General features: G+C 45.2%; 1 protein-coding gene across 14 annotated transcripts in view; it reads left to right on the forward strand.

The window, feature by feature from the left end:
* ABLIM3 (actin binding LIM protein family member 3) overlaps positions 1–14836 on the forward strand; it is a 119050-nt gene that overhangs the window by 51789 nt on the left and 52425 nt on the right. For all 14 annotated transcript variants that reach the window (NM_014945.5, NM_001301018.3, NM_001345858.2 and 11 more), the window contains 3 exons: positions 4938–5121; positions 7035–7147; positions 13727–13853. In NM_014945.5, coding sequence (NP_055760.1) covers positions 4938–5121; positions 7035–7147; positions 13727–13853 — 424 coding nt within the window. The remainder of the gene's footprint in view (positions 1–4937; positions 5122–7034; positions 7148–13726; positions 13854–14836) is intronic.

Consider the following 14836-nt stretch of genomic DNA (forward strand, 5'->3'; position numbering starts at 1 on the left):
ATTAAGGTTACTAAATACAGAATAAATATAGAAAAAAATTGCATTTGTATTCACCATTAACAATCAAGACGCCATTTACCTGAACAAGAAAAAAAGTTTAATTTAGAAATAAATTTTATAAAGTTGTATAAGATAAAAATTATAAAATTGTTAAATTTATAGAATATCATAAGAAAGACATTAAATACCTAAATAATTTTTTAATATGCTAAATTCTCTGATAGAAAGATAGAAATATCAAAAAGATGACAGTTCTACTCTGGTTGAACTATATAGTCAAAACAATTCTAATACATTCCATAAGGTTTTCCATAGAAATTAAGAAATCAGTTAAAATTATATTCTTGACAAAAGGCCAGGAATAATCAAAGCATTCCTAAAGAACAACAAAGCAAGAGGGCCTGTCCTACCAGATATCATCATTTGTTATTAAAACCTATTAAGACCATGTGATCTTGGATTAAGGACAGATAAAAAGACCAATGGAACTGAATATAGAACCAAACACAAACTTTCATACATATGGAAACTTGCTTTTTGCAGATCAGTGGGGAAAGATTAGACTGCTTAATAAATGATGCTGAGATGATTAATTATGCATGTGGGAGAAAATCAGATCCCTACTGTATATCATTCCCTAAAGTCAATTCCAGGTGGATTTGCTTTACTATGAAAGGCAGCTCAATAAAATTTTTAGAAGACAATATAGGAGATACCTTTTTAGGATTTCAGGGTAGAGAATAATTTCTGAAACATGACACAGAAAGGGCAATCCATAAAGGAAAAGATTCACAAATTCAACAACGTAAAAACTGAGAACTTTGGTTCATCCAAAAACAAGAAAAGGGGAGCAAAAGCAAGCCCCAAATTGCAGAAGATATTTGTAATAAATGACTGAAAAAGGATTGATTTCCAAAATATATTAAGAATTTCTACAAGTCTAAAATGTAAAAAATGAGCAAAAAACATTAGCAAGTATTTTAACATTTGAAAAAAATTCTCAATTTGATTAACCATTAGGGAAATGAAATTTAAAAATCACAAAATGATAAATGATATCATTTCACATCCACTATGTTGACCAAATATGTCAGATATTACTAAGTACTGTTGATGATATATATCAGTGGGAACAGCTGGTGGGAAGGTAAATAGGAAAAGCTCTTTGGAAAACAGTGAGGCATTACCTCACAAATGCAAGAATGTTTAGAACAGCATTTCCATAAAAGCAAAAAACTGCAAGTAGCTCAAATGCCCTTCAGCAGTGGAGTAGACCAACTGTGATGTATTCAGGCAGTGGAATACAGCACAGCAGTGAAAATGAGTGAACTGCAGTTACGTGCATCGACGTGGATGAATCTCAACACACAATACTCAGGGAATGAAGCAGGCACGGGACAATTGCAGTATGACTCCATCAACATAAAGTTCAAAAAGTGGCCAAACTAAACAAAATATTGTTTATGGATACATCACAGGTGGTAAGACTATAAAGTAAAGCAAGGGAATGATAAACACATAATTAGGGACGGTATGGGACAGAGGTGCTCTTAAGGAGAGGAGAACAGGCTTCTAAGGAATTGGTGATGTTCTGTTTCATAAACTCGGTAGTGGGTACATGGGAGTTATTTTATTATTCTTCTTTAAACCATACATACATATTCTATACATTTTCTCTATGTATAATATATTTCACAATGAAATGTTCTGAATAATGAATTAGATCACCCTCAGGGGCCCTTCTAACTCTTGGATTTTGAAATTTCATAAAATCCAGTCTCATTCAAAAAGTTGAAAATCACTAAAACTGTATGACAGAGTCTTGCACTTTCTGTTCTAGATGTGTCCTCAGTTAACCACCCAGCCCCTTCATCTTACAAATGAGCTCCAGAGAGCTGGGATAACTTTTTCAAAATCTCCCAGCACTTGAGTGCTAGAACAAGACCACAGACAAAGGTCCAATAACCTACAAAACATCACATTGTTCACTGACGCATTCTGGGGCTGTGTGCAAGTCCTCCTTCTGGGCCTTATATTTACATTGAGCATTTATTCCGGATTTGCTCAAAGCAGTTTTAACGTTCAATATTGCGTTTCACTCAGCCTCAGATCCATCTGTCATGCTGGTCCAGCTTGCCTTCCATCCCTGTGCTCCCCACTGTATTTCCAGGAACCCCTGAGAGGCTTATCAACCTTTACATCCTTTCTACCAAAAGCTTCCTCCTTCAGCTCCTTGGGGGCAATGGAGGACTGATTGTTCCAAGTTTTCCTATGGTGGCCTGGATTTCTCCACTGGGAGAGGTGGCTCTGGGGGTGGAGTTGGCAAAGGAGACAAAGGAGAGAAAAAAAAAAGGGAAAAAACCGGAGCTGTTTCCAATGAGGTTGTAGGCCATGACCTAATTGATTCCGCAGCCATGAAGTCAATTGTTCCACCACCTGCACGGCCCAGAACAGCCTGTGCTCTGGTTTGCCTGCTCGTGAGACCAGACATTGTTTGATGTGATGAATTTTCATAATGCCTGATGGAAGATGAACCCTTCCCAGACTTCTGCCACCACCACCATCTCCACCACACTCCTGCCTCTTCGTAGGGGTGGGGTCGGGGGCCACAAGCAATGCTCCACACTGAGTTTAAAATGTTTAGGCGTATAGTAAGCGCTAAAGGAAGCTTTTCTTCTCATAGACTTACAGCATGTCAGTTCTAAAAGAAAAGCTCAGCCTCTTCATTCTGCGTACAAGTGAACAGAGGCCCCAGAGAAGTGAGGGTAAAGTTCACTGTTGTCCAGAGACTCAGTGGCAGTGATGAGACCAGAGGTTGGGTGGTCTGACTATCAGACCACTGTGTCTCCCACTGTCCTGAGCTGTTCCCTCCCCTCATGCAGTGACTTCTGAAGCTGCCTTCTCCTCACTCAGCCTCACCCCTTAAGCCTCCAGTCCCCAAAGGTGAACAAACATTTATGAAATATTTCTGGCATTCACCTGGCAGTCTCTCCTATTTTTAACCTGGCTGCTTTTGCAAAACAACTTCCCCTGTTAAAGGTGAGATAGTATTTGCTGGGGTGTTTTCACTCAGTTCCAGGTTGACTCTTCAGACTTACAGTCTTGCTAACTATCTTATTGGTTTTCCCATCATTGATCACCCTTGAGAAAGCTGACTTGTACTAACCAACTCCTCAGAAAACTGATGTAGAAAGCCCGAATACCTGTTCATCAATGTGGATGAGAGGTGTGACCTTGAGTTGGATTGTTTCATGGTGGCCTGGCCAGCACCTGGCCTCTCAGAGGCAATCTAGGTGGAAAGTCAGTCCATCAGACAGCAGCCTCAGAACCAGGGGAGCTGGTGACAGGATTTGAATGGGCACCGCAGTTGCCTTCCTCTGATTGCTAATCAGGCCCCTTCCTCGCTGGTGCATCCTTGCTTTAGCTGATTGGTACATTCAGTGGGTTTCTACAGTTCTGGTGGCCCTGTGAGCCATTTATTGCCTTGGAAGAAATTTTGCATCTTTCTGCTCTGCCCATCATGTGTTGATTTCACAACTTAACTCCTTACAAGTAAATCTCATATTTCTAAGTCCTTCAGTGGGGGTGGATCTCACATAATTCAATTGTTGAAACACCTATAAATCTACTTGTTTTTCTGTTTTGTCCTACATTTATTTCTCCCTATTATCCAAAAGAATATTCCAAAAGACTAGGAAATGCCTTGTAAAATCCTGTTGCATCTCTGTTCAAAAGCCATCGATGCAATTGATCATTTTTGCAGCTGAGTGATGGAGAATTATTACAATCTTCTCCCATTTTTGTATATGTTTGAGATATTTTTCTAAATTTTTCTAAACTAGGGAAAAAAACGTCCACGGCTCTTCAGTATCCTACAAAACCTAATCTTCTTAAACTGGATTCAGGCCTTCCTCCAACTGGTCTGCACAATCTTTTCCTGCATTACTTCCCACCACTTCCTACAAACACCACCCCTACTTCTAGCCTTTACACAAATATCACTTGCACCTTCCTGCCTCTGTGCTTTGGCTCATTCATTCTGTTCCTTTAGTGTTCAACTCAGATGCTACCTCCTCTGAAAAGCCTCCCATGATCCCTTGCAACTGACAAGGCTTCCTTCTTCTACCTCATTCACAGTCCTTACTGCTTGCACCGGTTCCGTGGACCATCACCGATGATATGGGACATTTTTTCTATATGATCTTCTCTCTGCAGCATTTTTAGCTCTTTGAGATTCAGGGATTGTGTTTTATTCTTCCTGCCTGAGAATAGACACCCCCCACTCCTTATGGCTATGGTGAGCACAGATTCTAGACTTCAAATCATCCATCCCATTGCCATCCGAAGGTGTCTCCAGGTTGGGATTTGGAGCATATGGTCCTCACACTGCTCTTCACCTGGCACAGAATCATGCACATAGGAAGTACCCAGGAAATGTTTAACTGAATGATTCTTTTATTACATTCATATTTCCACCAGCTGTGTGGCCTTGCGTGAGCCACATGGCATTAAACTTTTCATTCATGTATTGGGAGGATTGTACACCACCAGTGCTTCTTAGTGTGCATCAGAATCAGCCTATCCGGGTGAGGGAATGCTGTTCAAATGCAGATGCCCAGGCCTCAGTCCCATGGAGTCTGATTCAGGCCCGGGCATCTGGATTATAAGAAGCTCTCGGGGTGATACTGATGCTAGTGGCCTACTGGCCATTCTTTAAGGAATACTGGCCCCAAAGGCCTGTGAAGTCTGACATGCTACCATTCTGTGGCCACTTCTTTAAGGAATACTGGCCCCAAAGGCCTGTGAAGTCTGACATGCTACCATTCTGTGGCCACTCATGACACAGTGAGACACCAGCCTTTCCCCCAGCGAGGACCTTCTGCTTACAGACCCTCCCTGGACTCAACCTGCCCTTGTTTTCCTCCTTGTTCCCCAAGTATGTGGCTGTGGCCTGGCCCAGTCAGGCTTCTTCTTCAAGAACCAGGAGTACATCTGCACCCAGGACTACCAGCAACTCTATGGCACCCGCTGTGACAGCTGCCGGGACTTCATCACAGGCGAAGTCATCTCGGCCCTGGGCCGCACTTACCACCCCAAGTGCTTCGTGTGCAGCTTGTGCAGGTGAGTGGGCGACCAGCAGGGCCTGGGACCCTCTGCATAAGCCCCCGGGGCAGGGGAAGACCTGGCTTTTTCCAGGAAGTTCTGGGGTTTACAAGGTTTGTGCTGCACATTTAGATTTCTGGAACCTCAGGTGTGGAGGGATCTGATGGGCCAGTGGTTTTCAAACACTGTAGCATCTGAATCTTTCTTATAAAATACAATCTGATCTAAAACACTGGTTTGTCCTGTGATAGAGGCAGAGTGAGGATCTGTACCTCTAAACTCAGCCTCCCAATTCCTCTCAAAAGGCCCCCAAAGAAACCACTGATTCTCTCAGAACTCAGTTTGGAAACTGTGGATCTGGCCCATCCTCCCACACCCTCATCCACAGGTGGGACAGGGATGTCTGTACATAGCCTTCCTCCATCATCCTGGCACCACCTCATGCTGTTGGAGTGACCCTGGCAAGTGACCCCCACCTCTGTAAGCCTCAGTTTCTCCACAGGTAAAATGGAGGTCAAAGCCATTCCAACCTCATTGGGTTTTCTCGAAGATCAATGAGATGATGATGCAAAGGCATTAGCTCAGTGATCAGTATGTGAGAGTGTCTGTTTTTATTATCCTTTTCATTATCATGATGATAGTCATCTATCTTCTCTCAGGACATCTCCAGGGATGGAGAGCTCATCCCTGCCTCCTGCTTTACCTTCCGCATCACCATCACTTGTTAATTCAGCAAGTGTACGTTAAGACTCCACTGAATGCCAAGCAACACATTAAGGAGATGAAAAAATGAAGAAAGCTCAGCCCTACCCACAAATACATTAAATGTTAATGGACAGCTCTGATTACATCATAAGTAAAGCATGATTAGAGTATATACGTATTTTTTAATTGGGAAAGGAATGTATGGATTAATTATTCTCCGCATAAAATAACCACCAGTCACTTACCAGTTAGAATAACTAGTTAGAGTTTCTGATTGAGACTAATGACAGAGTGTGTAAGAAAACATAATCCCCTCGTGGAATTCATTCATCTACCCAGCTCTTAAAACCTGAGCCCTGAGCCCTGGAATCCCAGACCCATCAGAGGTTAGCACAGAGGGTTCCTATGGTACAAGATGAGGTCTCTGTCAAGCCAGGTGACTCCCCAAGATCACGCAATGTCTTTCTACCAAAAGCTAGTGGCTGAGCCACGATAAGAACATAGCTCCCCCGACTCTCACCCTGGTGCTCCCTCCATCGTGCCACAGTGCTAATACAAGGGCAATGGAGCCCCTGGGAGCCAATGTTAGGTGCTGTGCTGAGAGTCCTCATAACAGGCATCCCACTGCATGGGCGAGAACAGCTCAACAGTAGGCGTGGTGGTGCCAGGGATTCTGTGTATGGTTCATAATTTAGTTGGGGAGGCAGAGCATGTGCAAATTTGAGACTCCCCAGCTGTGGAAACTGAACAAATCCAGATGAGGAGAGTAAAAGATTATTTACAGACTTACAAACTTCCTCTTGGGAAGGGGGATTTTGAAAAATGCCTGAGTAGTAAAAGGAAGAAATTTTGGTAAGTTTGTGAGTTGAATGAATTCTTAACATATGGGGATAAATCAAATTGGGATGGAAAAAGTCCTTCCAGAAGAGAGAACAAGTATCTGAGGCGTTAGTAATCTCTACTTCTTACAGCCTAGACAAGTAAGGTCAGATAAGCATCATGATCTGCCCAAAATATACAAACAGCCTAACTGGGCTCCAGTTCTTGCTGCCAGGCCCCTAATTGAGCAGTTTAGTTGGCCTGTCACTGTGAACAGCATTTGAATTTGCGTGGTGCTCTAGAAGTCAAGCTGTATGTGTTACCAAAGTGCTTTGAGCACATGTGTGGTCAGCTACAGAATCCCTCAGAAGAGGGTGTGTTGAATTTCTCCCTCATCCCACTTGCAGGAAGCCTTTCCCCATTGGAGACAAGGTGACCTTCAGCGGTAAAGAATGTGTGTGCCAAACGTGCTCCCAGTCCATGGCCAGCAGTAAGCCCATCAAGATTCGTGGACCAAGCCGTGAGTCCTCCCCACGGGTATCTCCCTGTCCATGGGTGTGATCTCTCTGGGCTCCCCTTTCCCAGCACTGCCAACTGCTCCCACGGGCCTGGAGGGAAGTGGGAGAGGTTCCCAACCTGGAGGCCTCCTGCATCATGACCCCATTGGCATGTGGCCCAGACTCACAAGCTTCACAAGCACAATGCAGGGAAGAGGGGCTGCCTGGCCATAAACAGTGGTAGCCAGTGCCAATATTTGCCACATGGTATGTCTCCTCTGGGACAAGCTGAGTTCCTGATCTTATGTCCCATGGACGCCTCAATAGGGCTGATCAAGTGTTTTTTCACCAGTGGCTCTGAATTTTTACCAACTCCACTAATAAGAATTGGCAGACATGGCTTACAGAAGAGGTAGTATGGGGTGCCCTGGGAGCAAACCACAAGAGCTGTGTTGGTGCCTCTTAGAGTGTTCCATAGACCACTGCATCAGCTTCACTGTGGGACTTGTAAAAATGCAAATGTCTGGGCTCACCCTGCACCTCTAGGGATGGAACCTAGGAATCAACATTCCCAGTAAGCTTCCTGGGTGATTCATTTGCTGTTCCTGAGATTCAGAACCACTGTCTAGGGATAAAGGCAGCATCTGTCATGCCATGATGAATGTTATGTTTTATCACCAACCACAGATTTGGAGGGAAACTGAGGACCAGGAGCGCGCCTCAGAATGGTCATTCTAATTTGTGGGATGTCCATCCCACTCAAGTGTGCCTAGTGATAAGATATCTAAATCACTGTTCCCAGATGCAGTTGGCAGGCTGCTGCTGCACATGCCCACACACACATAGACCCTGCCCCCTTGGTCTTGGTAAGCCACACTAGGCTCCAGTGTTCTTTCATGTTATATGACACTCTCACTGGCCTCGACAAGAAAATCAATGAAAATTCCATTAGCCTCCTGTGCTGCATCACTGTGCGGGTGCAGGGTGCTGTTGGCCATGGCACCAGCAGAGTCAGCATGCTGGGCTGCATCCAGCCAGAGAGAGTGAGCACAGATCACCCCGAGTCAGCAGGGCTTAGCTCCCAGGGGCTCCCCGGGAGTCCATCCAGCTATGGTGAGCTGAGGAGAAAGACAGTGGGAAGGCTCCCTCCCTTGCCTGCTCTTCCTTTCAGCCAAATCAGATCTGTTCCTGGAATGTGCGGAGCCCTTTCTTTGGCATCCTTGATGATGCTCAAGAATAGATTGCTGCTCCAACCAGGTTTCCATGTCAAGGTGACTGAGTGCATACAGTGTTATCCTTCACAGCTCCTTGAAAGCATCATCCAGAGTGACAGAAAAACAAGGAGGCTGGGATATGGGACCACGACCCTGTGGCCAATGCTGCTGAGGACCTCCGAGACTGATGGGGCCATGTGTGAGGCAGGAGAGGGAGAAGTGAGCCTGAGTCGGGAGGCTGCCAAACTTCTGCATGCTGCAAAGCAGTCATGAAGCCTCCCTGAGACTCAGTTTACCCAGTTATGAAAGAGGGATGGAATTTCCTATCTTCCTCACAGGAGCGTTGGGGAAAGCAAATGTATTAGTTCAGGGATCAAACTAAGATACATTGCTTATATAAAATGCTCTATAAATACAGAGTGAGGGATGATATTGGCATGGAGGTTTAATATAGAAAGCACACCAAAAGAGGTTGAGAATGAGACTCCTGGGTCGGTTGTTATTTCCCCTAGTTTGGATTGTGTGTTACTGTATGCATTTGTGCTACACCTATCACCTACTCTTTAGGTGGGATATTTCTTCAGCTGAATGTGGGAGTCTCACATGTGAGTATGTTTTCAAAGAGAGGCTCCCAAATGTGTCCACCATAATTTGGATGATTAGGAGGTGGAAGAAGGTGAGGAAAAAGTGAGTCAAGAGGAGCAAATGAGCACATGGACAGTTTCCAGTGGGGGCATACTTAGTATTATAGCTTATCTTGTTACTCACAAAGTAAAGACATCAATCCGTGATTGATCACTGATTGTCTATAGTGGTATGTTTTATAGAGGTATTTTCTCCAAAGGTGGTCACTATTCATGCTGCAAATGCAAAGTAGCTCCTGACTAGATGGGGTGTTGGAAGGTCTTCTAAGCTCCCATGGGATACAGGAAACCAAAGCCAGGTATAAGAGATTGCTAAGAAAAAGAACATATCATGGAAAAGGAAAAGAAGAACAAAATAATTGGGGTTTTTTAAGCTACAATTGTGATGTTTCATCTCTGGAGAGTAAATAAAGATATTCTGGAAAGTCAGGAGCAGTGTCTACTCCAAAGAGACCAAGAAAAATACTCAGGAACTGTCAAGAGAAAATAATTCTGTTACTTACCACAGGAAGAAGAAATGTTTCCTCACCGACCTCACTGAGAAGAATCAGCAACAGTAGCAGCAGAAACCCCACCACCACAACCTTCACCATCACCATCACCACAATAATCATCATCATTGCAAACATTGATTGACTGTTACTATTTCCAGGCACTGCACAGACCTCAGTGAGAAGAATCAGCAGCAGTCTCAGCAGCAGCACCACCACCGCCATCACCATCTTATCACCACCACCACCATCATCACTAACATCACCAGCATTGCCATCACACCACCACCATAACCATCATCATCACTAACATCAACACCATCACTACCATTGCCATCACCATTGCACCACTACCCTCACCATCATCATCACTAACATCACCAACATTATCATTATCATCACTACTATCATCATCACCACAATCATCACCACCACTATCTTCACCATCACTACCATCATCATGAACAATACCATCAGTGCCACCACCATCATCACCACCAACACCACTGCCACCACCAATACAATCACTACCATCATCCCCACCACCACTACCTCCATCACTACTACCACCATAACCACCATCATTGCTAACACTGATTGACTGTTACTGTTGCCAGATACTGCAAAAACCTCATTGAGAGCAATCAGATGCAGTAGCAGCAGTACCACTGCTACCACCATCATCACCATCACCTTCTCCACCATCGTCACCATCATCATGACCAACACCATTGACACCACCACCACAATCACCAACACTGTGTCTCCAACACGATCACTACCATCATCACTACCATCACCACCCTCATCACCATTATGAACAACACCACCATCACCATCAATACCATTGTCACCACCAACACAATCACCACCACCTTCGCCAACGCTACCATAATCACCACTATTACCACTATCGCCAGCACCAGCAGCATCAACACCATCACCACCATTATTATTACCACCATCATCACTGTCACCATCATCACCACCAACACTGTCAACACCAACAATATCAGCATCACCACCACTAACATAGATTATTACTATTGTCAAGCACCTCACTAAGTGTTTTATACAGATATTTCATTTAATCATTACAACAACCCTATGAGGGAGATAAGAGTAATTATTTTATAGATGAGAAAACTGAGACTCAGTGAGCATAAATGACTTGCCCAAAGTCACCCAGATAATGAGTAATGGAACTAGAATGTGAGACCAGCCAGTCTGGCCTTAGATCCTATTCCCTTAACACTCTGTACCAGAGACATGACTTGCAACTTGGGAAGTGTCTAGTCTTCCTGGATTAGTTGCCTAAAACAAGGTACGGAGCTTGCTATGACTCACAAAACCCACTCATTTCTGCTGATTTAAATAGAATGAATGACACAGTCTAAAAAGGATAAAAATGGCTGTCTAGCGTCTTTAGGAGGCCTCAGTTTATAACTGAGGGATCTGAGAGGGACAGGTGGTAGCATCATACATTCTGCCAGCTGAAGATTGTAATTTTGGAATAGAGAGGAACATATGGAGGAGTGGACAGCTGGCTCTGCAGACACCAACTTGGAACAGGGTGTGGTTTTCCTGATTCTATTTATTACACCAGACCCACGGGCTCCTGGGTGGCATGCCTGAGGCTCCACTGGTGGTCAAGAGTGAAAGGAGGAAGAAGAGGGCGAAAAGGTCCTAATAAATAAGAAGCTGATATAATGGAGGAGCAGCAGTATAATATAAAAAGAAAAGCCACATGGAGAAGATGTCCCAGAATTCTCACGGGGAATCAGCAGGCTTCCCTACAACAGGACTATCGCTCCTGGCTTCAGAACAGGGATTGGGTAATGCACAGAATGTGGGTTAAAAACAGGAGAATGTAAAATAATAATGACAACAACCACGTATTGGATTCATATGGGCCAAGCATTGTGCTAAGGCCTAATGGGCCTGATTTTAATTAACCTTCACACCAGTGTTTTAAGGAAGATATTCAGATGAGCAAGTCTGGGCTTAGAGAGCATACAACTCATAAGAAAAGGAGCTGGGATTCTCTCCTGGGCCAATTTCCCACTGCTCACTCCAACTCTCAGCCCAGCCTCTAACCACTGCGCTGTACTCTCTCCTACAGCTTAACTCAAGGGGTTAAATTTATCTCAGATGTACCACTGAAAGTCGAAGAGATAGGATTCATTTCTAGAGTATGGCCATGAAAGGATACAGCTATGCAATAAGTTTTGTTGAAGAAACAGAGAATTGTGTTGTTTGCCAATTACATGTCTTTCTCCATGGAATCCACAAGTGAATTTGATCACTGGATGATCATGTCAAGCAAGAAAAAGTGTAAGGAATAAAGAAGAGAGAAACTATAGTTGTCTTTAATTCTTTAAAAGAACTGTCGTATGGGAAAAGAGGTGGATTATTCTTGATGCGTAAGAATGGGAGCAGTCACGGGAGTCAAGTCTCAGCTCCATATAAAGAAGACAGTCATGACAATCATACCTGTCCAAGGGCAGAGTGGACTTCCTCACCACCCCTTCCTCAGGAGGGGTTAAACTGCCCACTACTGGAGGTGATTAAGCAGAGGAGGGTGCCCACTTGTCGAGAATGCTGTAGGTTACTGCATTGGGTGGGATGTTTGACCAAATACTCTGTGAACTCCAAACCCCTATGGAATTTTTAGGCCCTGCTGGGGAGGCCCACAGAGATACAAGTTCAGTATTAGTGACCTAGAAAGCTTGACCAGGTGTCTACAGTCCTTGGGTTCCTCTATACTGAGCTTGGGCAAGTCATTTCAGACCCCTGTCTATCTGTAAAAGAGAAGGGGGTACCTGACCTCTCTAAACTATTGCATTCTGGAGTCTAATTATTGGGCAGGGGGTGCAAGTAGACTTATAGACTTACCCCAGGAGAATAGAAAGGAAGAGAGATAAATCCCGAAACTCTTTATTCTCTCAGCCCCCATCTGAAGGCCTGGGGCTTGAAGCATTTTGCAAGTAGAGACCTTTCTGCCCCCAACTTGTACTAAGGGATGTTAGAAAGGCACGCAACAGCCAAGAGGCGGAGTACTGTGGGAACTGACTCATACAAACACTTCATCAAGGCCCCAGACCCTCCCCACAGCCGGCTGGACCCACCACCCTTCCTAGATTTGCAGACACATCATCTTTTCTTCTAGGACAGGCTCCCAGCTGGATGTGGGGGCTGTCCAGCCAGAATCCCCTAACTTTACATGCAGTTTCTGCTCTCCTCACTACTCCCAAGTGTGCATTTGTCTTATGGAGCCAACAGGGAAGTTTGTCCTCTGGTCAACTTTGCCCCATGACCCTTTCCTCCGCCAAAGTGGGTCATCCGGTTGGCTAGGCCTGAATTCCCAGCAGTTTCCAAGTGCCTTGGACGTTGGCTCCATTTCCGGACCCTCCTCAGACATTCATTGAGCAACAAGCTGATGCTAGGCTTGTCCCACATTCTCTTGGCCCCAACTCACATTCCAGGGTGACCGTGTCAGGGAGTGAGGGCACCTTTCTGGTTTGGGACAGTCTCATCAGACCCTGTAATCCTTGCCACTTGGGAAGGCACATGTTCGATGTGTGAAGCACAATGGGGAAGGGGTGGGTGTGGTAATTCTGTTTGTTGCCTGGGTACCATCAGGCCCATTCATTCATACACATTTGGCAAATATGCTTTGAGTTACTGCTATGGGCTGAGCACTGTGCTAGGCAAAGGAATAGGTTTAACCACAAAATATAAACACAGCCCTTGCCAATGTGTATATAGCCTAAGGGTTTGAAAAACTGTATACTTAGCCCATCCCCAGGAGCAGTGCTTCTTAAACTTTTACTCTGCACGGAGGTCTTGTTAAAATTCAAGAGGTCTGGGTGGGGTCTGCAATGCTGCACACTGCCAGCTTCCAGGTGATGCTGACGCTGCAGATGGCAAGGTCACGGACAGCAGCAGAGCTTAGTTAGCAATTTGAGGAGGGCTGGAAGCAGTGCAGGGTCCACTTTCAGTGAACAATGTGGTCTTGATGACAAGCAGGGAGGTCTTTCTTTCTCTCCTACACCAAGACCCCTTGTCAAGAGGCCAGGACTCCAGTGGCTTTTTCTCTCCCCTGGGAGAGCCTCTGGGAAGCTTCCAGTGTCAGGTGGGAGCAACTATGGGAACACTGGCATTCAGGGAGGGGTTTCCTTGACGTGGGCCTGAGATAGCGGGGGTTAAAGGGCCCAGGGTGCTTTGCTCAGCAGTGTCCTCTTGTCTTGCAGACTGTGCCGGGTGCAAGGAGGAGATCAAGCACGGCCAGTCACTCCTGGCTCTGGACAAGCAGTGGCACGTCAGCTGCTTCAAGTGCCAGACCTGCAGCGTCATCCTCACCGGGGAGTATATCAGCAAGTGGGTCCCCCTGCTCCTGCCCCAGCTGCCTGGGCCTCTGCATTCTGTGAGGCCTGCCCCATTGAGCCCATGCCTACATCTCCAGCATCATCTCCCTTCCTTTCCGTCTGCTGCTGCATTCTGGCCAAACAGCATCTTTCCCAGCAGCCTCTTTCCCCCGTTGGACCCTCCCGGGGGGGTTTCCCTCTGCCTGAGACACCCTCCCTGTTCCTTGCACGCCTGCTGCCCCTTCTCTCCCTTCTGGTCTCGGTCCCCATGCCTTCCCCTCCGGCCGTCTCTCATTTACTGCCCCGTTTTGGGCCCTCAGAGTACCTTGTTGTTTCCTTCACACAGGCTACCACCATTGGTAATTACATATTTATCCCTGGTAACTTTGTAATAATGCTAATAATACTATCTACCATTTATTGAGCTTTAATTATGTAGAAGGAACTCACTACTTTGTATGAAGTATCACTTTAAATCCTCATAACTGCCCCTTTGAGGAATTTATCCCCACTGAATACTCAGACTTGAGAGAGTAAATAACTTGCTCCAGTAATAGTGTTTAATCTCTGTACCCACCAGGAGAGGGGCTTTGTTTTAATCACTGCTATATCCCCTGCCCTGAGAGCAACACCTGACCCACAGTCAATAATATAGTTGCTGAATGAATTTAATGGATATGAGAGGAGGTGATGGGTGCATAGTTATCCAGAGGGGCCAACCTCCAGTGACCCACACACTGCAGTATTAGACAAGTGTCCTCTTGTTGCTGGGCCCCAGTGACCACATTTATATACTCAAGTACCTAAAAGTAATTATCAGCACAGATCCTTTGTCACAGCTTTGACATCATATGACCCCAGACCCTTCTAGGTGCCACTCTCTGGCCTGATGCCAGGCAGTGGCAAGCACACAGAGCTGCAGCACACATGCTTCTGCTGTCAAGACCCTGCAGTCTAATACGGGAAACAGATATGCTGCGTTCATGAAGAATTATG

This window comes from Homo sapiens, chromosome 5 (genome assembly GCF_000001405.40).
Source record: "Homo sapiens chromosome 5, GRCh38.p14 Primary Assembly".
Taxonomy (NCBI): Eukaryota; Metazoa; Chordata; class Mammalia; order Primates; family Hominidae; genus Homo; species Homo sapiens.